The sequence below is a fragment of the Homo sapiens genome, chromosome 1, assembly GCF_000001405.40.
Source record: "Homo sapiens chromosome 1, GRCh38.p14 Primary Assembly".
Lineage (NCBI taxonomy): Eukaryota > Metazoa > Chordata > Mammalia > Primates > Hominidae > Homo > Homo sapiens.
Genome location: NC_000001.11, coordinates 215831579 through 215856525, shown reverse-complemented (window position 1 = coordinate 215856525; position 24947 = coordinate 215831579). Strand labels below are relative to the sequence as shown.

At 35.9% G+C, this 24947-nt stretch overlaps 1 protein-coding gene across 1 annotated transcript in view; it reads left to right on the top strand.

The window, feature by feature from the left end:
- The window catches only part of USH2A (usherin), an 800558-nt gene that overhangs the window by 566923 nt on the left and 208688 nt on the right, over positions 1 to 24947 (top strand). Inside the window, exons 45-47 of the mRNA NM_206933.4 lie at positions 10493 to 10702; positions 12030 to 12232; positions 18423 to 18535. Coding sequence (NP_996816.3) covers positions 10493 to 10702; positions 12030 to 12232; positions 18423 to 18535 — 526 coding nt within the window. The remainder of the gene's footprint in view (positions 1 to 10492; positions 10703 to 12029; positions 12233 to 18422; positions 18536 to 24947) is intronic.

Genomic DNA, 24947 nt, shown 5'->3' with positions numbered 1-24947 from the left:
GGCCATTCTTGCAGGAGTAAGATGGTACCATATTGTGGTTTTCATTTGCATTTCCCTGATCATTAGTGATGTTGAGTATTTTTCATATGTTTTTTGGCCATTTGCACGTTTCTTGGCCATTCTTCTTTTGAGAATTGTCTATTAATGTCTTTAGCCCACTTTTTGACTTGATTGTTTGTATTTTTCTTGCTAATTTGTTTGAGTTGCTTGTAGATTCTGGATATTAGTCCTTTGTCAGAAGTAAAGATTTTTAAGACTGTCTCCCACTCTGTGGGTTGTCTATTTACTCTGCTGGTTATTTCTTTTGCTGTGCAGAAGCTTTTTAGTTTAATTAAGTTCCAACTATTTATCTTTCTTTTTGTTGCATTTGCTTTTAGGTTCTTTGTCACAAAGTCTTTGCCTAAACTAATGTCTAGAAGGATTTTTCCAATGTTATCTTCTAGAATTTTTGTGGTTTCAGGTTTTAGATTTAAGTCTTTGTTCCATCTTGAGTTGATTTTTGTACAAGGTGAGAGATGAGGATCTAGTTTCATTCTTCTACATGTGGCTTGCAAATTATGCCAGCACCATTTGTTGAATAGGTTGTCCTTTACCCACTTTATGTTTTTGTTTCTTTTGTCAAAGATCAGTTGGCTGTAAATATTTGGCTTTATTTCTGAGTTCTCTATTTTGTTTCATTGGTCTATATGCCTATTTTTATACCAGTACCATACTGTTTTTGTGACTATGGCCTTTTAGTATAGTTTGAGGTCAGGTGATGTGTTACCTCCAGATTTGTCCTTTTAGCATAGTCTTGCTTTGGCTATGTGAGTTCTTTTTTGATTACATATGAATTTTAGGATTTTTTTCAAGTTCTGTGAAGAATGATGGTGGTATTTTGATGGGAATTGCATTGATGGGAATTGTGTTGATGGTAATTTGATGGGAATTGCATTGAATTTGCAGATTGCTTTTGGCAGTATGATCATTTTCACAATATTGATTCTACCCATCCATGTATATGGGATTTGTTTTCATTTGTGTCATCTATGGTTTCTTTCAGCAGCATTTTATAGTTTTCCTTATAGAGGTCTTTCACCTCCTTGGTTAGGTAGATTCCTAAGTATTTTACTTTTTATTTTTGCAGTTATTGTAAAAGGGGTTAAGTTATTGATTTGATTCTCAGCTTGGTAGCTCTTTGTGTATAACAGTGCTACTGATTTGTGTACATTAATTTTGTATCCCAAAACTTTGCTGAATTTATTTAACAGTTTTAGAGGGTTTTTGGATGACTCTTTAGTCATCCAAATGTCTCTAGGGTTTTCTGGGTACACAATCATGTCATCAGAAAACAGCAACAGTTGGACTTCCTCTTTAGCTATTTGGATGCCCTATATTTTTTTCTCTTGTCTGATTGCTTTGGCTAGGATTTACATACTATTGATATAGGAGTTAAAAAGAAATTAGGCAGATAGGGATGGTAAGAGAGTCCTCAATAAGGTTTTCCTTTTAATGGAGAGCAGCAGCCCCCAAATTATCTCTTTTCTGACAAAGAGCAGCCTGTTAAATTGAACTGCAGACATAGATAAGCAAGCTGGAAGCTTGCATGGATGAATGCCAGCAGCTGCACCAACAGAAAAAGGCTACCTGGGGGCAAGGCATGTTCAACATAGTGGCTCCATCTGCCCTTTTCTTTGTCGAGCACATGTACAGTAAGAAACAGACAACATGGCACTGGCCAGGTAGAGAACCCATCTGCATAACAAAAGATTAGGATGGGGTGACCAGGTTATTCATGCACTATGTAAATGGCACACACAGTCCCATCAATCTTTAGGCCCTATGTAAATCAGGCACTGCCTCCTCAAGCCAGTCTATAAAGCTCCGTGCACTTTGCCGTGGACTGGAAGACCCATTTGGGAGCCCTTCTTTCTCTGCAGAAGAGAGAGCTATTCTCTTTTCTCTTTCTTTTGCCTATTAAACCTCCACTCTGAAACTTACTGTGTGCCTGCATCCTTGATTTCCCTGGCATGAGATGATGAACCATGGATATTTACCCCAGACAATGATGCTGCTTCAGTATGTTGAATAAAAGTGGTGAAAGTAGGCATACTTGTCTTGTTCCAGTTCTCAGGGGGAATGCTTTTGATATGGTTTGGCTGTATCCCCACCCAAATCTCATCCTGAATTGTAGCTCCCATAATGCCCACATGTTGTGGGAGGGACCCAGTGGGAGATAATTGAATCATAGGGTGGGTCTTTCCTATGCTATTCTCATGATAGTGAATAAGTCTAATGAGATCTGATGGTTTTATAAAGGGGAGTTTCCCTGCACAAACTCTCTTTTCTTGTCTACCGCCATGTAAGATGTGCCTTTCACCTTCCACCATGATTGTGAGGCCTCCCAAGCCATGTGGAACTATGAGCCCAGTAAGCCTTTCTTTTGTAAATTGCCCAATCTCCAGTATGTCTTTATCAGCAGCATGAGAACAGACTAATACAGTAAGTTGGCACCAGTAAAGTGGTATGCTGCTGAAAAGATAGCCAAAAATGTGGAAACAACTTTGGAATTGGGTAACAGGCAGAGGTTGGAACAGTTTGGAGGATTCAGAAGAAGACAGGAAAATGTGGGAAAGTTTGGAACTCCCTAAAGATTTGTTGAATGGCTTTGACCAAAATGCTAATAATGATGTGGACAATGAAATCCAGTCTGAGGTGGTCTCAGATGGAGATGAGGAATTTGTTGGGAACTGGAACAAAGGTGACTCTTGTTATGTTTTAGCAAAGAGACTGGCAGCATTTTGCCCCTGCCCTAGAGATTTGTGGAACTATGAACTTGAGAGAGATTATTTAGGGTATCTGGCAGAAAAAATTTCTAAGTAGCAAAACATTCAAGAGGTGACTTGGGTGCTGTTAAAGGCATTCAGTTTTATAAGGGAAGCAGAGCATAAAAGTTCAGAAAATTTGCAGCCTGACAATGTGATAGCAAAGAAAGTCCCATTTTCTGAAAAGAAATTCAAGACAGCTGCAGAAATTTACATAATTTACCTAAGTAATGAGGAGCCAAATGTTAATCCCCAAGACAATGGGGAAAATGTCTCCAGGGCATGTCAGAGGTCTTCATGACAGCTGCGACCAACACAGGCCCAGAGGCCTAGGAGGAAAAAGTGGTATCAAGGGCCAGACCCAGGGTTCCCATGCTGTGTGCAGCCTAAGGACTTGGTGCCCTGTTTCTCAGTGGCTCCAGCCATGGCTGAAAGGCCCCAATGTAGAGCTTGGGCCACGGCTTCAGAGGGTGCAACCCCCAAGACCTGGCAGCTTCCACATGATGTTGAGCCTACCAGTGCACAGAAGTCAAGATTTGAGGTTTGGGAACCTCCACCTAGATTTTAAAGTATGTATGGAAACACCTGGATATCCAGATAGAAGTTTGCTGCAGGGGCAGGCACTCATGGAAAACCTATGTTGGGGCAGCACAAAAGGGAAAAGGGGTGGGTGCCTCCACACTGAGTCCTCATTGGGGCACTGCCTAGTGCTACTGTAAGAAGAGGGCCACTGTCCTCTAGACCCCAGAATAGTAGATCCACCAACAGCTTGCACTGTGCACCTGGAAAAGCACAGACAATGCCAACCTGTGAAAGCAGCCAGGAGGGAAGCTGTACCCTGTAAAGCCACAGGTGCAGAGCTGCCCAAGACCATGGGAACCCACCTCTTGCATCAGCATGAGCTGGATGTGAGACATGGATTCAAAAGAGATCATTTTGGAGCTTTAAGATTTGACTTCCCTGCTTGATTTTGGACTTGCGTTGGGGCCTGTAGCCCTTTTGTTTTGGCCAATTTCTCCCATTTGGAACAGCTGTATTTACCCAATGCCTGTACCCCCATTGTTTCTAGGAAGTAACTAACTTGCTTTTGATTTTACAAGCTCATAGGCAGCAGGGACTTGCCTTGTCTCAGATGAGACTTTGGTCTGTGGACTTTTCAGTTAATGCTGAAATGAGTTAAGACTGTGGGAGACTGTGGGGAAGGCATGACTGGCTTTGAAATGTAAAGACATGAGATCTGGGAGGGACCAGGGCAGCATGATATGGTTTGGCTGTGTCCCCACCTAAATCTCATCTTGAATTTTAGCTCCCAGAATTCCCATGTGTTATGGGAGGGACCCAGTGGGAGATAATTGAATCATGGGGGCGGGTCTTTTCCATGCTATTCTTGTGATAGTGAATAAGTCTGATGAGATCTGATGGTTTTATAAAGGGGAGTTTCCCTGCACAAGCTCTCATTTCTTGTCTGCCACCATGTGAGATGTGCCTTTCACCTTCTGCCATGATTGTGAGGCATCCCCAGCCATGCGGAACTGTGAGTCCATTAAACCTCTTTCTTTTGTAAATTGCCCAATCTCAGGTATGTCTCTATCAGCAGCATGAGAACAGACTAATACAGCTTTCCACTTTTCCCCATTCAGTATGTTAGCTGTGGGTTTATCATAGATGACTTTTATTACATTAAAGTATGTCCTTTCTATGCCTATTTTGCTGAGGGTTTTAATTATAAAGGGATGCTGGATTTTGTCAAAGGCTTTCTCTGCATTGATTGAGATGATCATGTGATTTTTGTTTTCAATTCTGTTTATGGGGTGTATCACATTTATTGACTTGCATATGTTAAACCATCCCTGCATCCCTGGTATGAAACCTACTTGATCATGGTGAATTGTCTTTTTGATATGCTGTTGGATTTGGTTATCTAGTATTTTGTTAAGGATTTCTGCATCTATGTTCATCAGGGATATTGGTCTGTAGTTTTCTTTTTTGTCATGTCCTTTCCTGTTTTTGGTATTAGAATGATATTGGCTTCAAAGAATGATGTAAGGAGTGTTTCTTCTTTCTATATCTTTTGGAATAGTGTCAATATGATTGGTACCCATTCTTCTTTGAACATCTGATAGAATTCCGCTGTGAATCTGTCTGGTCCTGGACTTTTTTTGTTGGTAACGTTATAATTACCATTTCAATCTCACTGCTTGTTATTGGTCTGTTCAGAGTTTCTATTACTTCCTGGTTTAATCTAGGAGAGTTGTATATTTCCAGGAGTTTATCTAGGTTTTCTAGTTTATTTGCATAAAGGTGTTCACAGTAGCCTTGAATGATCTTTTGTATTTCTGTGGTATCAGTTGTAATGTCTCCTGTTTTATTTCTAATTGAGCTTTTTTGGATCTTCTCTCTTCTTTTCTTGGTTAATCTTCCTACATGGTCTGTCAATTTTATTTATCTTTTCCAAGAACAGGTCTTTATTTCATTTATCTTTTGTATTGTTTTGGTTGTTTGTTTCAATTGCATTTAGTTCTGCTTTGATTTTGGTTATTTCTTTTCTTCTGCTGGGTTTGGGTTTAGTTTGTACTTGTTTCTCTAGTTCCTTGAGGTGTGACCTTAGATTGTCTATTTGTGGTCTTTCTGAGTTTTTGATATAGGCATTTAAGACTATGAACTTTCCTCTTAACACTGCTTTTGTTATATCCAAGAAGTTTTGATAGGTTGTATCACTATTATCATTCAGTTCAAATAATTTTTAATTTTCTTCTTGATTTCATTGTTGACCCAATGATCATTCAGGAGCAGATTATTTAATTTCCATGTATTGGCATCATTTTGAGTGTTCTTATTGGAGTTGATTTCCAATTTTATTCCACTGTGATCTGAAAGAGTACTTGATATGATTTTAATTTTCTTAAATTTGTTGAGACTCATTTTGTGGCTTATCATATGGACTATCTTGGAGAATGTTCCATGTGCTGATGAATAGAATGTATATTCTGCAGTTTTGGGGTAGAATGTTTTACAAATATCTGTTAAGTCTATTTGTTCTAGGGTATACTCTAAGTCCATTGTTTCTTTGTTGACTTTCTGTCTTGATGACCTGTCTAGTACTGTCAGTGGAGTATTGAAGTCCCCTGCTATTATTATGTTGCCCTTTTTAAACTCCTATGTGTCAATTAAAGACAGGCTTTTTCCATCTAGTGAATCCACCATTCCCCAGGGCCTTAGAGTCCTACCTTAGATGGGAAAACTAGACCCTCATAGACGGCCAATTGCTCCTTCACATCTCAGTCCAGATGCATGGGGCCCAGAAAATGTAGTTCAATGATTTGACAAGAAGAGAAAAATGTTGGTATTAGGGAGTTCTAGAAATCTTTGCCTTCAGATTACAGAAGATAGCTTTTATCTTCCGACTATATTTTAAAATTTAAATGGTATTAATGATATTAATGGTTACTAATGTCTTTCTCTGTTTTTTCATGCCATTCTATTTTATATGTAATAAAGAACTTAATATGCTGTTACTTTTCTTGCCTTTCTCATCTGCTGTTTTCAATGTTCAGTTTATTATTATTGTTAATATTGTTGTTATGATATAATTTTTTTATGCAACTATTTTCTCTAAATAGCTTCAGTACTTATCAGCAATTCTTAAACTTTCCCAATCTTGAGTTCTGGATCTTGATTAATCTTTCTGTCTTCTGAAGAAGATTATTGGATAGTTTTATCATGAAACTTAAAAAGATCAATTAATTAGTTTTATGTTCTCTAAATGTTTGGTGATATAAGAAAGTATTTCTCTCATCTTTGCACATTCTCTTAAATTTGCCCAAATAAGAAAGTATGTCTGTTGTTTTTACACATAAGTAACCATTTAAATGTGTATAAAATTCTTGGATTAAACTATTTCCCCTCAAAACTTGTTGAAATTGTTCCATTGTCTTTCAACATTTGACATTCCACATAAGAAGTTTGAAGCTTATCTGATTTTTTTCTCCTTTATAAATGTTCCTAATTTTTGGTTTACCTTTAAAATGTTTCAATATTCCATGATATGTCTATGTTTGGATATATTGTGATTATTTTGGAGAAAACTGTATTAGTCTATTCAGTTTGTAGACATAAGTCATTTTGGGTAAGGTTTATTGGGGCATTTCATATCCATAATTATTTATTGCATTTATTTTTAAGGTAATTAGACTTTTTCTGTTCTCGATGTCTATAATTTTTACTTTCACTGATGTCCTTGTCATTTTCCTGTTAATTCTTTGATATTGTGCATTTTTAACTCTGCTCATTTCTGCTTTCAACGTACGTTTTAATTCTGCCATTGCTTTACATGGTTCCTTGCTCTCCTTTCTTATTTAAGGCAGACCCCTTTACATCTCTGTCTTTGTGGCTGTCTTTTTATGATTTTACAAACCTACTTCATAGAGGCTTCTTTTTCATAAAGTAATGTCCCTTTTTTATTTTTGGTACACCATGCAAATATTTTATAAAACCTCCATCCCATTGTCATAGAAGTAATATACACAAAACTTCTGCCTTGGAAGGTTCTAGACAAGATTTCCCTTGTCTTATGCTAGGAAGAAGCCTTGTAACTTATGTTTTTCTATTTAAAAAAGGAGAGATACATTCAGACCCAGCTTTTCTCAATAGACAGGGAGGGTGAAATTTACTTGCCTCTTCATTCAGCTGTTTCCATGTTAATAGCCTTCCTCTCTCAGAGGTAAAATCAAGGTCATCAGCCTTTAATTTTGTGCTGGTCTATTGAACTGAAGATGTATCTTCTGTTTCTTAGATGGTTCACTGACTTAGGAAGAGTACATCAAAGTTTAAAGACCTTATTTGAGCAATGAAAAAGATGCTTCTATGCATGTACTGCTCCCAGAACTTCTCATGTGATAACCAGGAACATGTATAAAATTGTATGTGTTTCTACATTTTTCTATGTTTTGGACTTCCAAGTGTAACATCCACATGAGTGGAGAAACAAGTGTTGAAGCAAATGTTGGAAACAGGGAGAATAGGCCAGAAATCCGGTACTTGTTACCCAGAAGTGCTGCCTGTTTCTGTTCTCAAGAGCCTCCATATCATGCAGTAAGACATAAACAATGGAACGGAATCACCATCTTTTCCTGTTGTCCTAGGTTCTGTTCTGTTTCAGAGGGACTGGCATACGGTGCATGGCTAAGAAAGGACATTTAATGGGGTCTCATCCAGACATTGACATGTGATCTTTGCTCATCTTGAACTTGTGCTAGTGGAAATATATTTAATGTATCTACATAGGTATATTAATTGGAACTTGATAGTGCAGATAACAGGCACATTTAATAACCCAAGTGAAATTAATTTATATACGTAAGTGAAGTTTGAAAGCATTTCATTAATATTATATCTTTAGGGCTTGACTTTATAATCAGCCTGCTCACTTAACAAACTAAAATTCAACATAAACTACAAATCTAGTACACTTTGCATTATACCATAGCAGCCACAAATTAATGAGTAATAAATAATGCTGTGAGACAGTAGAAAATGATGCTAGTAACAGAAGAAACGTTTGCACTCACTACACCCATGGCTTTGCTGTACTTGACGAATATTATCATTCAGGAAAATGTTAAGGGATTTTAATAGTCAGTTCCTGCCGATGATCAATAATGACCTCATTATTGCATGTGCTTACATTTTTGTGACATCAGAGGAAAGAAACACTGCAAAACCCAGAATTTTCCAAATTAATTGCTAAAGGTCTTCCAATACAAACTCTTCCAACTACACTGGCACATCATACCCTTTTAACTATTTCTAGAGCTAAAGTGAAAGCAGTAGTGTATTTAGGAAAAACAAAAAGAAAAACCTAGTATTCAGTTTTTATGCAAAATCACCAAGACTTTAATGTAAAGGGGTCCTTTAAAGAAACATACTATTCTCAAAGCTATATTACTTTATATGGCCATATGCTGGGATCTCACATATAAGTGAAATTGGACTTCAATAGCCATAAGGAGAAATGCCACTTTTTCCTCCCAATCCTTGGACTAATGCTGTTTAACTTTTTTTCTTTTTTTTTTTTTCCTGAGACATGGTCTCATTCTGTTGTCCAGCCTGGAGTACAGTGGCACGATCTCAGCTCACCACAACCTCTGCCTCCTGAGCTCAAGCCATCCTACTGCCTCAGCTTCCTGAGTAGCTGGGACTACAGGTGTGTGCCATCACACCTGGTTAGTTTTTGTGTTTCATGTAGAGATGGGGTATTGCCACGTTTCCCAGGCTGGTCTCGAACTCCTGAGCTCAAGTGATCTCAGCCTCATAAAGTACTAGGATTACAGGTGTCAGCCACTGTGCCCAGCCTGAGCAATTTTTGATGCATAATTTGACATGAAATTTCAGAAGGCTTGTAAGCCAACACTCCACCCCCATCCTAACAAACTAAGGTAATCGTTTCTGCTTAAAAGTCTCTGAAAATAATACTGATGTAAGTAGAGCAGCATAATACTTCCTACCTAAGAAAATATGGCTGTTTTCATGTTCTCTTGTTAAAGAATCATTGTGGGCAGATAATGAGAAGCAGAGCCTAAGGAAAAGAATGGATAAATTGGGAGGAAGAGGAGAAAAAATAATAGACTGGTCTTTGAAAGGATAAGGGTTGAAGAATTGATGAGTTATATTTGCAAGACAGTTAGTGATTGATTTTGGTATCTTTTAAAGGCTTCTCTACATTATAGAAACACATTGAACTAGAAGAGAAGGATGAGAGCCCTGATAAAAATTTAAGTATTATCCTGAGCCAGTCCTTAAGGGGAGCATGCTATGTAGCCCTGCTACATTGACAATGTATATAAAAGGATATCTTTCTAAGCATCCTTCTAGGTATCAGTTAGCGAATGTTGTTAGCAAGTTAAAAAAATGTCTCTAGGATCTGTGTCAGGAAATGCTCTTATTTGTATTAGCCTAGTCTTCTCTCTAAGATTATGTTACTTATGAGCAGAAGTTGTTCTATGTACTGTATACTTTCATTTTCATCTTAGTTTCCTTTCATAAGTGTTATATCAAAGTTCTGATGATTCATTGAATAATTATAAGTAGCAAAATTAAAATATTTAAAGGAAATTAAAAAGATGAGACTTTTATAAGACTCATATTCCTACATAAGACTGCAATTAATTATGAGATTGGGAAAAAACGCAAATTATTAAAAAATAAAAACTGACCAGGTGCAGTTGTTCATACCTCTAATCCCAACAGTCTGGGAGGCTGAGGTGGGTGAATCACTTGAGGCCAGAAGTTTGAGGCCATCCTGGGAAACATAGCAAGACCCTGTGTCTACAAAACACTGATAAAAATTAACTAGTGTGATGGCCTGAGCCTGTAGTCCCAGCTACTTGGAAGGCTGAAACAGGAGGATCGCTTGAGCCCAAGACATCAAGGCTGCAGTGAGCCAAGATTACACTACTGCACTCCAGCCTGAGTGACAGAGCGAGACTCTGTCTCAAAAATAAATAAATAAAATAAAAACTATCACCACCAGCACCACCAAAAAGGAGATCTCATAAGCTTTTTTTAACATTTCCAAAACAAAGGCTCTCTAAACTTCTTTTTTTCTCATTCTAGAAAGCTAATGATAGAATTTTTTTTTTCCCCTGAAAGCCTCAGCTACATTCACCATGTCCTGCATTTATTGTTGACAGCTGTTCAAGACCTACAAGGTGAAGTTGAATATTACACACTTTTTTGGAGTTCTGCTACCTCAAACGACTCTCTAAAAATCTTGCCAGATGTAAACTCTCATGTCATTGGCCACCTAAAGCCAAACACAGAGTATTGGATCTTTATCTCTGTCTTCAATGGAGTCCACAGCATCAACAGTGCAGGACTTCATGCAACCACTTGCGATGGGGGTGAGTCCAGATTCTAAAGGATATTTGCCTCAGAGATGCGAATGAAATTGATTGATTCTTGCCGGGGTTGAGATCAGTCATCCCTCCATTATAAAATTTCCGGTGTGGGAGGGAAGGGGGTGGAGGCTAAAATGCTTAAGTGCTCACTGTCATCAGTAGCAGATCAATAAGCAGTCCCATTGAGACAGAAGCACAAGCTCTAATAATGAGATATTAGCCCAGTTTGTTCCTGTTCTTTTCAGTGTATACTTATTTTAGAACTGAGTTCACATCAATAAATGGTGACATTTAGAAACTTTTTTTTTAAGATTTGCCCTCAGAAGCAGTACGTTTTTCAAAACGACAGCCAAACACAGTGAGAGCCCTCCCTGAGTCACCAGAAATGGTAGGTGGAAGTTCAGCCACTGAGAAAAATTGCCTGTGACTCATTTCTAAGCCAGTTAGCAAGGGGGAGGAAGCAAGGGAAGCAACTTGTGAATCTGAAATGTGTTTGGAATGGTCTTTCTAATCTTTTTTGGCTTTATAAAGTCTCATTATAAACATTATAATATCATTACCTCCCAAGCAAGTGTTCCAGGTCATTAGCAGAGCTCTTTAAGTGTGGAACCCATTTCCCTTTGTGGTGCCAAAGGTCGGCACCTTTTGTTTATAAAATAGGGTAGATCACAAGGACAATTCTTCAACTAGTTAAGATGGGTTCTTATGATAAAAATAGGTCTTTGCATAGTTATTTCTGACATGCTTGAATAATTATGCAATTTAACGCTAAGCAAGATTTTTTTCTTATGTTAGATTTCATCATTACCTATGGTAATCAACATTCAAAATCATTTACATAATGACAATATTGCATTATTGCTTCATATTGCTTGAGTTACAAGCTAGTAACATCAAATGATTTTTCACGTTCCACCAGCCTCATTGTATTTGAGTTTTATTTTTTGCTCAAGGAGCAAATTTTATTTCCTTCCCTCCCTCCCCTGCACCTTGGAGGTATAGAGTGAAAGGATGGAAAAAAGACAAAAAATAGATAAGTGTTAGTGGTGCAGATGGGTGAATAATTTATCATCATATCCCACTGGTCACATAGTATTGAAGATTAGCACTATGCTGGTGGTATAAAGCATTTTACCACCAATTCTTATGGTTTCTAACTGAGAGTATAATAAGCCAATTTACAGAGGACTACAGACTGTGATAACTTCATCAGCGAAAAGCAGATAAGCGAGGAACCCTTTGCTAAACCTAAATACTAATCTGCATTTAGCTTAACATGTGCTTTTTCAGAGACAGCTGGAGTTTATTCAGTTTCTTCCTTTAATTCTAGAGCCTCAGGGCATGCTTCCTCCAGAGGTTGTCATCATCAACAGTACAGCTGTACGTGTCATCTGGACATCTCCTTCAAACCCAAATGGTGTTGTCACTGAGTATTCTATCTATGTAAATAATAAGCTCTACAAGACTGGAATGAATGTGCCTGGGTCGTTTATTCTGAGAGACCTGTCTCCCTTCACTATCTATGACATTCAGGTTAGAACATTGTTTTTTGATGGTTAGGCTTATGGATATGTTAAATAAAACATGCCAGGCTATGTCTTCAAGTGGATATCTTCTGTCTTGGTTACAGATTATTTCTTTGGTGGGGAAGGGAAAAGAGAGAAGGGAAATTGATCAGAATTAAATCTGTGTGCTGTAGGCAAACATGTGAGTCTCTGGAGAGAAGATAATGATAATATGGAAAACGATGGTGATGAGGATGGTGATGAAATTCTCACTGGCAAAATAAAGCTAATCATGTATTCTAAATAAATCTTGTTGAGCAGCTTACCTTTTCCCAGGATCTTTTACTGAAATCAAAATCAGAATCAGTTTGTAAATGTGGAGATGTTTTTTTCTCTTCCCATTTCTCCTATTTACTAATTTAATATCTCCAGAGAAGTTATGAAACTTCACTTGGTGTCAATTTCCTCTTTTGTAAGCGCAATGGACTAGATGTCTTAAAACATTCTAGCCACCTCTAGCATTCTGTGATTCTGAATGCAACAGGAAGACATATATAAAAAATATAGCAGACAAAAAATATTAAAAGGTTTTATCTGAAGGTGAAAGAAATATATTTATTCATCACTCAAAAAATGTTCAATGTTCTCCGCATATGTGAGAGCAATTGTGGTTAAAATTTTTTGCCCTTGGACTTCTTTGAGAATCTTATGAAGTCAGTGTACTCTGCCTTAGAAAAATATTTATGCACTTGTATGACAAAATTTAACACATAATTTCAGAAAGTGCACTGATCACTTGAAGTCAAATTCATAGACTTCTTCAGGGGCTACTGGCCTTAAAAGTAGAAAAAGTATAGGGAATACTAAGGCATATAAAACAAGGAACTTATCTTCACGGAATTGGAAATCTTGTTGGAGTACCAAGCCATAAAAGATAACAAGGCTAAATGTGCAAATGAGTGATAAAAAAAAATCAGAGTATTTCAGAAACCCCACATTTAGAGAAAGCTTGCAATTTACAAAATTTTTTAATAAACTATGCTACTTCTAAAATTCATAAGAGCTTCGTAAGATAATTTTCAGAAGATATTAAGCACAGAAATTTTATATGACCACAGAAACTTTTTACTGGTTCTATCCATTTAATAGTACTACCTCATTCAGGTTTCCATCTCCTTTTCCTGACATTTGAGGTTAAGACATATAATCATCTGGCTACAACCAACACTTTAGTCTCCCCTACTCTGACTCATAGACCTAGCTTCCTAAGAAAACCAAATAAAAATATCTTTGAATAAAGAAGAAAGGTACATTAATTATTTTTCTTTTTTTTTCATTTAAATGTATTTTATTTTAAGTTCCTGTATACGTGTTCAGGACATGTAGGTTTGTTACCTAGGTAAACGTATGCCATGGTGGTTTGCTGCACCTAACAACCCATCTACCAGGTATTTACCTGTACATGTATTATTAGCTATTTATTCTGATGATCTCCCTCCCCTGATGCCCCCCCAACAGGCCCCAGTGTGTGTTGTTCCCCTCGCTGTGTCCATGTGTTCTCACTGTACAGCTCCTACTTATAAGTGAGAACATGTGATGTTTGTTTTTCTGTTCCTGTGTTAGTTTGCTGAGGATAAAATGGCTTCCAGCTCCATCTATGTCCCTGTAAAGGACATGATCTCATTCCTTTTTATGGCTGCATGGTATTCCATGGTGTACATGTACCACATTTTCTTTATCCAGTCTATAATTGATGGACGTTTGGGTTGATTCCATGTCATTGCTATTGTTAATAGTGCTGCAATGAACATATATGTGCTTGTATCTTTATAATAGAATGATTTATATTTCTTTGGGTATATACCCAGTAATGGGATGGCTGGGTCTAATTGTGTTTCTGGTCCTAGGTCTTTGAGGACCCACCACACTGTCTTTCACAATGGTTGAACTAATTTACATTCCCACCAACAGTGTAAAAGCCCTTCTATTTCTCCACAGCTTCACCAGCATCTGTTGTTACTTGACTTTTCAATAATCACCATTCTGACTGGCATGAAATGGTATCTCACTGTGGTTTTGATGTGCATTTCTGTAATGATCAGTTATGTTGAGCTCCAGGTGCCCACCACCACACCAGGTTATTCTTTTGTGTATATTTTCAGTAGAGACAGGGTTTCACCATGTTGACCAGGCTGGTATCAAACTCCTGACCTCAGGTGATCCACCTGCCTAAGCTTCCCACAGTGCTGGGATTACAGGTGTGAGCCACTGCACCCAGCCAAGTATCTACTTTTTGAATAATCCCTTTATATGTCCCTTTTACAAAGAAATAATAATTTCATTTTTATTCAGTTTTACCTCTTTTTAATATAAATATAGTAAGCTTTATATGTTTGTTGGCCGCATAAATTCTTCTTTGGAGACGTGTCTGTTCATGTCCTTTGCCCATTTTTTTTGATGGGGTTGTTTTTTCTTGCAAATTTGTTTAAGTTTCTTATAGATTCTAGATATTAAACCTTTGTCAGATGGATAGATTGCAAAAATTTTCTCCCATTCTGTAGGTTGCCTGTTCACTCTGAGGATAGTTTCTGTTGCTATGCAGAAGCTCTTTAGTTTAATTAGATCCCATTTGTCAATTTTTGCTTTTGTTGCAATTGTTTTTGATGTTTTTGTCATGAAATGTTTGCCTGTGCCTATGTCCTGAATGGTATTGCCTGGGTTTTCTTCTAGGATTTTTATAGTTTTGGGTTTTACATTTAAGTCTTTAATCCATCTTGAGTTACTTTTTGTATAAGATGTAAGGAAGGGATCCAGTTTCAATTTTCTGCATATGGCTAGCCAGTTTTTCCAGTACCATTTATTAAATAGGGAATCCTTTCCCCACTGCTTGTTTTTGTCAGGTTTGTCGAAGATCAGATAGTGGTAAATGTGCAGTCTTATTTCTGAGATCTCTATTCCGTTCCATTGGTCCATGTGTCTGTTTTTGTACCAGTACCATGCTGTTTTGGTTACTGTAGCCTTGTAGTATAGCCTAAAGTCAGGTAGTGTGATGCCTCCACCTTTGTTCTTTTTGCTTATGATTGTCTTGGCTATACAGGCTCTTTTTTGGTTCCATATGAACTTTAAAGTAGTTTTTTCTAATTTTGTGAAGAATGTCATTGGTAGTTTAATGGGAATATCATTGAATCTATTAATTACTTTGAGCAATATGGCCATTTTCATGATATTTATTCTTCCTATCCATGAGCATGGAATGTTTTTCCATTTGTGTCCTCTCTGATTTTCTTAAGCAGTGGTTTGTTTTCATTGCACACCATGATTCCCATAGCCTACCTGAGTTGTCTTAGCATGGAATATGTGGACTGATGTTTATGTTCATGATTCTTATGGTGAGTCCATGTATGCAGGTAGACCATAGGCCAAATTATGAAATAGAAATCATGCTCCAAATAAATTAGAAATATAGCTATATAAAAAAGGCTAACACAGGAAGGTGATGGAGGATTTGCCGTATTGTCTTCTTTTGACCAGTGTTCGGGAAAGCTGAGTTTTCAAAGGCACCTTATTCATTTGCTTTACCAAGACTCGAAACACACAACCTAGAAGTGAGAACACTGTGTGCTGTGCATGCATGTGCAGCTCAGCTTTCTGACTCTGGATCAAGAGTTAACGTTTAAAAGTGTTTAAGGCCTATTCTATGGAAAAGGCTTTATTTATACCACTACTGGTTTGAGTCAGGTATAAATAACTCAAGCCAGTAGGTATAAAGCCTCCTCTTCTGGTAGCCTGAGGAGAGTGGAAACAGATGAAAATACAAAAGATCAAAGTAGAATCCAATAATAGAATTTTGTTATTAGTGCCTAAGATATTCTTATTACTGATTACTATATTTTTTGTGAAGCTTTTTGCAGTCCAGGAATACTGTACTTGATATAGCTGTTGCATTTCTGGAAATTTGAACATCAAATTTCAGTGATTTTCATTACGATGTCAAAGGTGATTTAGTTTCATTTAAAATAAGCATTTGATTGGAATGCCTAATACTTTAGAATTAAGGCTCTCTATGCTAACCCCATCTGTAAAATAGCTATTGATTTTAAAGCACATAACACACTCAAGTATCTACTTTTTTTTTTTTTTTTTTTTTTTTTTTTTTTTGAGACAGAGTCTCACTCTTCTCACCCAGGTTGGAGTGCATTGGCACGATCTCGGCTCACTGCAACCTCTGCCTCCTGGAATCAAGAGATTCTCGTGCCTCAGCCTCCCAAGTACCTAGGATTCCAGGTGCCCACCACCACACCAGGTTATTCTTTTGTGTGTATTTTCAGTAGAGACAGGGTTTCACCATGTTGACCAGGCTGGTATCAAACTCCTGACCTCAGGTGATCCGCCTGCCTAAGCTTCCCACAGTGCTGGAATTACAGGTGTAAGCCACTGCACCTAGCCAAGTATCTACTTTTTGAATAATCCCTTTATATGTCCCTTTTACAAAGAAATAATAATTTCATTTTTATTCAGTTTTACCTCTTTTTAGTATAAATACAGTAAGCTTTATATTTGTGTTTCATTCACATGTTATACAATATCGTTTTAGCACTAGAAATAGGTCCCAAAATGGAGACTGGGAATGTTAACATTAGTAAGAATAAAAACATATTGGCACATTTCTCTAACATTTGAGGTTAAAACATATATAATCATCTGGCTACCAGCAGTAGTCATTGGTCATTTTCCTTTGACCAATGAATCAAAAGAAATGTTTTCTGGAGAAACATTTGAATATACCTAAGTAGTTTAGAGCTTAAAGTTATGTTTAACATTTAGATGAGAAGCCAGTAGGGTACAGTGGAGAACAACTCAGATATCCCAAATCTTACCAGCTTGACAATATTCCCTGGCTTCTCTGCAAATTTGTTTAAATGGAGTTATGAGGAATCAATACGATTATTTGTGCATATATCCATTATAATATTTGGCACATATTAGATACATAATAAATTCAGTTGAATTGATTCTGGGTTATCTCATTATGTATCACAGAATCAAATTTTTCCAATATGTATAAAGTTCATTTTCATTAATTATATTACAGCATTATATTTTAAGTTCATCTGCCTTTATTTCAGATTTAATTGGACATGCTCAGAATGTAGGCCCTTGATAGTGTTTAAATATCCACTATTAATACCTCAAAAGACTATATGGCATCAATAAGTAACACAACTCATACAGCATTATGAACATATGCCTCAACTAACATTTAGGTACCCTATGAATAAAATAGCATATCTAGTAAATACAAGAATCCCATTTGCCTTTCCTCAACCACCAAAGGAACAGAGAACTGTTTCACATAAAAGCTCGGAATTAATGTTTAAGATTCATCAGTACCTAGCTTGCCTTCTCTATTTATATATTAGATGCTTAAAGTAAATTAGCACTGTAAAAAGTACAGTTTCTCTTTGGTTTATCCTTTAATTGAGAGCAGAATGATATCGCTTTGCAGATGTTCCCAATCTTTTGCATATTCATTTCTCTCTCCTCCCTCTTGGTTAACGTGTTCCTTTTGTGTGACTAATGCTTGATGAACCCCATTTCTAATCTTCAGTTATTCCACCCTCCTCGGTTTTTATTCAGATTAGGTGGCAGAATTAAAGGGATGAATGATGATTTTCTGCTGTGATTAAGGTAAAAATACAATTGCATCTGGAACAAATGGATATAAAATACCTCAGCCATATTGGAAGGCTTCTCTAGGCCTCATTTTTCCTCCATTAGACATTAGCATTTAGGCTATTTGTTTTACAGTGTCAAGACTTCCAGAAGATACCATCATTACACTACTTAGTTATAGATTTAGAGAACAGTGAGCAGTGATAACCTGTTATGCTTGCAAACTGTCACTTGGGCATCTTCCATTCCTTGACTATGCTCTTCAGTAGATTAATGTATCTTTCTCTTTGTGAATAGTTGCAACCAGAGAGTAAACATCATCATTCCCATTACTAAATCAATTATCTTGATCCCAATTCCGTACCTTCCTCTGAGCTCATTCCTTTGGAGTCAGTTAACATCAAAAATGAATATTGATTAAACCTCAAGAGGCTATAGAGAAATACAAGAGATTCATGTGAAATGAGGGAAGGTGGGATTCAGACTATTGTTAGTAAGTATTTCAAAAATGGTTGCATTTATTTTTTCTAAACTAATGTTTGCAGGTTGAAGTCTGCACAATATATGCCTGCGTGAAAAGCAATGGAACCCAAATTACCACTGTGGAAGACACTCCAAGTGATATACCAACACCCACAATTCGTGGCATCACTTCAAGGTACAAAATTTTGTGTCAGTTAAATCTAAGGAACTCTGATCAGAAGAAATGAAAATAAAAATCAAAGGTATCCTCTCAGCCATGACAATCTCATTTAATGGGTTATTATAAGTATGTGTGTAAATCAAATTTTTGATATTATTTCACAGATATTAATCTTCACTGGACATCCAATGGCATTTAATCTTTAATTTCCCTGATTGCCCAGCCTCAGATTTCTTATTTAGTAACCTGTAAGCAAATACTTGAAATACATGTCTCCTTATTTGAATGTGTCCTTTAGTGAATCCTTTTGCGGAGCATAATACAAGCTTAATTGTAATGACTACCTTCTAACTTAATCTTTTTGAAAAAAAATTGATTTATATACATCAGAGTGCCCTAAAGCTAGAAATCTGTAAAATTAGTAGGGCAGATAATGTTTAGATAAGCATTACCAATTTTGTCAGCTTCTTGGTAGAATCACTTTATTTTTCTTTATTCTTTTGTTGCTGAGAAATGACCATAGTTTGAAAGCGAGTCTCTTTATAATTCATAATTAGTAACAACAACAATAATAATAATATTTGGTATTGTTTCCAAAGCTGAAAATAAGATGGTAAATTGTTCATCCGTTTGTATCAAGTTGAGGCTGGGAAAAGAAATCTTAGTGCTTTCACATTATACTTTTTGCTTAAGCCAAATGAATCACCCTTCTCTTACATGTGCAAACAACACACACACACACACAGACACATACACACACTGAAATAATAAGTCTATTATTAATGTTTCAATTCTGAAGGATTTCTCTATGACATGTTGAAATTTCTGGATCTTAAATCAGTTCAAAAAATTAGTACTGGTTTTGGCAACCAATGGTTAAAATAATTAGAAAAATTCAACTAACCTGACTGTTAGCTGTTCGTGGCAATAATCATATCTTGTCTGCTTGAGTATATCTTCTATCAAACACATGATAGATACTGATCTAATTTTTGGCATACTAATTAGTTTATAATCCCCCCAGCAGATATCCCCCAACCTATTCACAGTATTATCTACTATGCAGGGAGGAAATAGTCATATTAAATGGGCGTTAGAGACCTTTATTCTTTAGCAAACACATCTGTGGCTATAATAATATAGAAGGCAAGGTGGGGCGTGGTGGCTCACGCCTGTAATCCCAGCACTTTGGGAGGCCGAGGCGGGCGGATCACAAGCTCAGGAGATCGAGACCATCCTGGCTAACATGGTGAAACCCTGTCTCTACTAAAAATACAAAAAATTAGCAGGGCGTGGTGGGGGGCACCTGTAGTCCCAGCTACTCGGGAGGCTGAGGCAGGAGCATGGCGTGAACCTGGGAGGCGGAACTTGGAGTGAGCCGAGATCACGCCACTGCACTCCAGCCTGGGCGACAGAGTGATACTCTGTCTCAAAAAAAAATATATATATATATATATATATATTATATATATATATATAATATATATTATATATATATAATATATATTATATATATAATATATATTATATATATATATATAATATATATACACACACACATAGAAGGCAAAAGTAATACAAAAGAGCATAAGACATGATTCTAAATTTGCAAAGTTCCAGTCCACTGGGGAAGATACTCCCCTAAATAAATGTTTATAGAACAATGTAAAAAACACTATAATAAGAGGTTTAGATGTGCAAGAACATAAAGAGAAAAATAGCAAACTTTACCCAGAATTATCAGTGAAGGCATCATGGAAGATGTGACCTTTGACTTCAGTCTTGAAAAGCTCAAGGAAGAATTATAGTTAGGTGGGTGGATGTTTTCAAATTCTTGTCTGCTGGCATCCCCATGACTCAAGCCCATGTGAATGACGTAACAGAATATGCCTCATAGTACATATTTATTTATAACTAAAAATAACGTCTAAGCTTTATAAGAAATGGAACAAATGTGACTGTGTCTCTAGGTTTTTTTTCCTTTAAGAAGATTATTGCACATAATAACAGAGGACAAATATTTTTAGTTGCTATTAAAAATTGCTTGTATCCAAATACATTAAATTGATGACAGAAACATTAAAAAGAGTATTATACAACAAGAACAAGGAAAGTGAGAGAGGAGACAACAACAGAAAAGAGATTGCAACACAATTTTGTAAGCAATATTTGTCAGAAAGAAGCAAATGATTTAATACAGTGGAGAAATTTACAACCAAAATATTGGTTGACAAAAGACAATAATGACAGGAAACAAACTGTTTTTTCCACAGAGAACTGGAGAGGCTGAGCACTTAGAAGTTTTAAGGATGTAAAGAGGAGGAGAGAGGGTAGGGTTTAAAGCTGAAATCATGGGGTGAGACACAACTGTTAACAAATAAGTGTTTGGAATCCCAGGTCTCTTGCATCTTTGCTGTGCATCCAGGGGTCTATTTCTCTTCCTCCACATGACAAAGTCCACCGACCAGGAGATTAGACATTTATTCTCTGGAGAAACTGAGGGCTACTAGGCAGAGGGGAGCTGAGATGAGACACAGAAGTAAAAACAGTGATAAAGTGAGACTACAACCTGAATGGTGGGCTTTTTGGCTAAGTTTCCCAGTTCTGCCCTCAAAAGCAAGTAGACAAGTCATAAACACCTCCAGATAGGAAACTGAACATAGTTTTCTAGAAAAAAAAGAATGATCTCAAAAAAAATACCTCCAGATAATAGCATATAGGGATCCCTAACAGTAAAAACAACTTGTCCTCTGGTCACCCAGTAGGGAAGTATGCCAATCAACAAGGCTCACCTAACTATAAAGCTTTTAGTCAGCTTTTTTTTTTTTTTTTTTTTTTTTTGGTGCATCACTCTTAAAGATAAAAAGGGGACCAAAATAAACAAAAGACATGATACAATAGATTCAGAGATAATGCAGGTGAGGAAAAAAAATTATAGCCTCAGACAGATAAAAGAAAATTCTCTAACCATAAAACAAAACCAGCATACTTAAAAAAATAAATAAATAACCAACGAGGAGAAAACTTCATGGAAATTAAAAGGGTGAAAAGCTGAATTGAAACTTTTGAAGAAAGTTCAAGGGAATGTCTCTGAAAATGCAATGAAACACAAAGATTTAAAAGAGAGAGAGACAAAGAAAAAACAATAGAGAGTATCCAGGAAGTCTAATATTTGAATAATAAGAGCTTCAAAAGAGAATCAAAGGAAAAGAGGGAGAAAATTTAAAAAAAAAAAAGACAAGAAAGTATCCCAGAACCAATGTACTACTGTGCAGATCAAAAGATTCCCTGGATACCAACAATATGACTAAAAAGTGATTACATATAAAGGGATATTATCAGGAAATTGCAGAGTACCATGTTTAAAAAGCACATCCAAAAAGCTGCCAGGAAGAACAGACACTACCACAATCAGGATGTGAAGCAGCATCATGATGTCGGTCTCCATTATTGCTAACCCCTCTTCTACCCTTCCTAAAACTAAGCAAACACTGCCATGTTTTGTTATGTATAATTCTGCCTTTTCCATATTGTCATGTAAATGGATCACATAATATGTAGCCATTCAAATGGCTTCTTTTAGTTAGCATAATGCATTTAAGATTTGTCCATCTTATTATATACATACTAGCAGTTGTATACATACTAGTAGTTGTCAGTTTTTGTTGCTGAGTAAGATTCCATTATATGAAAGTTCTACAGTTTGTGCACAGTTTGGATAATTTTCAGTTCTCCGTGACCACGATTAAAGTTGCTGTAAAACATCTATATACAGGTTTTTGTGTGAAGATATATTTTCATTTCATGTGGGTAAATACCCAGGAGTTGGATTGCTGAGTCATAAACTGCCAGACTGATTTACAAAGTGACTGTAACATCTTTCATTCCTACTAGCATTGTATGAGAGTTCAAGTTGCTCTACATTTTTGCTAGAACATGAGATACTATGAGGTGTTTTCCTCTTATTTTTTAAATAGTCATTTTAATAGATGTTTGTGGTGTGTTATTATGGTCTTAAATTACATTTTCCCTAATGACTAATGATACTGATAAGCTTTGCAATTGCTTTTTGCATGCACTTTGGCATTTGTTTACTCTGGGAAATGGTATCTCCAAATCTTTTGCAAATTTCTTAATTAGATTCTTTGTTTTCTTATTTTTTGAGTTTTGAAAATTTTTTAAATATATTTTGGATTTGAGTTTTTGTCACATATGTGATTTACAGATATTTCTTCTCTACCTTATGATTTGTTTTCAATTATCTTATTTGTGTGTTTTTAAGAGAAAGAGTTTTAACTTTCCAAGAGAGTTAGATTTGTTACTTTTTCCTTGACAGTTTGTGCATCTGGTATTTTATCTAAGAACTTTTTGCCTGAGTTAAGGTCACAGAGACTTTCTCTTGTCTATTTCCTAGAACATTTGTATGTTTACATGTTGAATTTATGTCTATGATTGGTTTTGTGTTAATTTTTGTATACACTGAGGCATGAGTCAAGGTTAATTTTTTTTGGCATGTAAGTATTTAATAGTATCAACAAAATTTTTGGAAAGATTATCTTTTCTTTATTGAATATTTTTAGATTTTTGTCAAAAATCAATTTAAACACGTTTTGTAGGCCATTTTTGGACTCTCTTTTATGTTCAATTTATCAATATGTATATCTATACCAATATCGCACAATCTTGATTACTACAGCTCTATAGTAAGCTGTCAAATCACATTGTATGAGTCCTCCAACTTTGACCTTTATAAAAATCATTTTGGCCTTTCTCACTACTTTGCCTGTCCATATAAATTTCAGAAACAGGTCATTGATATCTACAAAACATGTGATTTTGATTAGAACTGCATTGAATTTGTGGATCAATTGGTAGAGAATTGACATCTTAACAATATCAAATGTTCTGATTCAAGAACACACTCTTGCTCATTTATTTGCATCTTCTTTCCTTTATTTTATCAGTGTTTTATATAATCCAGTATGCAAATACTGCACATATTTTATTAAGTTTATACCTAATTACTTATTTGGGGGGTGCTATTATTATTGTTTCTTTAAAACAAATTCAAATCCAATTGTTGCTAGTGTGTAGAAACACAATTAATTTTGGAATAGTGAGCTTACATCCAGCAAACTTGCTAAACTCCTTGTAAGTCTTAAGAGCTTTTTTGTAATTCCCTAGTCTATATAGATCTTCTACAAAGAGAAACTGTTTATTTTTTTCATTTCCAATCAGTATGTCTTTTATTTCTTTTTCCTGCCTTATTGCACTGGATAGTTTAATAACGTGATAAGAGCATATCCTTGACTTGTTCCCAATCTTTGAAAGAAAACTTTCAGTCTTTTACCCTTAGATGTGATGTTACGTATGAAATTTTTGGCCATGCCTTTTATCACGTTGAAGAACTTACTTTTTATTTTTAATTTGCTGACAATTTTCATTATAAATGGACATGGAAATTTGTCACATGCTTTTTTGACATTTTAAATTTGTACTATGATCGATTATATTTACTGATTTTAAATTATTGAACTAGTTTGTATTCGCTGGATAACCAGAACTTCGTTGTGACATATTTTCTTCTTCATATATTGGGGGATGCAATATACTATTATCTTATAGAAAATGTTCATCTGTGTTCATAAAATATATTGGACTGTGTTTGATTTTCTTGTAATACCTTTGCCTGGATTGGGTATCATGGTAATTTCTGGTCTCATACTAACTTGGGAAGCATTTCCTTCTTTTCTATTTTGTGGAAGAGATTGTACAAAAGTGTTATTATTTCTTAAATCTTGGTAAAATTCACCAGTGAAACCCATATTTGCCTGGAGTTTTTCTTTGATGGAAGGTTTTTTAACTTGGAATTCAATTCCCTTAATAATGTATGATATTTGGCAATTTATTCTCCAGTGAGTTTAGTCATCTTGTGGGTGCAGAAAATAGGTTAATTTAATCAAATTTGTCAAATTTATTAGCAGGAAGTTGTTTGTAGTATGTTTGTACTACAAACAACAATTTGTTGCAATTGATTTTATTCTTTCATTTCTGATATTGGTAGTAAGTGCCCCCGTTTTTCTGTTCAGCCTAGAGTTTTATCAATTTTGTAGATCTTTTCAAAGAACCATTTTTGGCTTTATTTATTTTCTATATCATCTACATTGTTTTCTATTTTCCATTTCAGTGATTTCTGCTCTCTATTGTTTTCTTCCCTCTTGCCTTGCTATTGCTTCTCTAGTTTCTTAAAGATGAAAACTTTCATTATTGATTTGAGACCTTTCTTCTTTTCTCTCAGTCCTGCTTCGGTATGAAGCTCACAAATTTTGAAATGTTGCATTGCACTTCATTTATTCAAAATATATTTTAATTTCTCTTGAGACTTCTTTAACCCATGGATTATTTACAAGGGTATTGTTTAATTTCC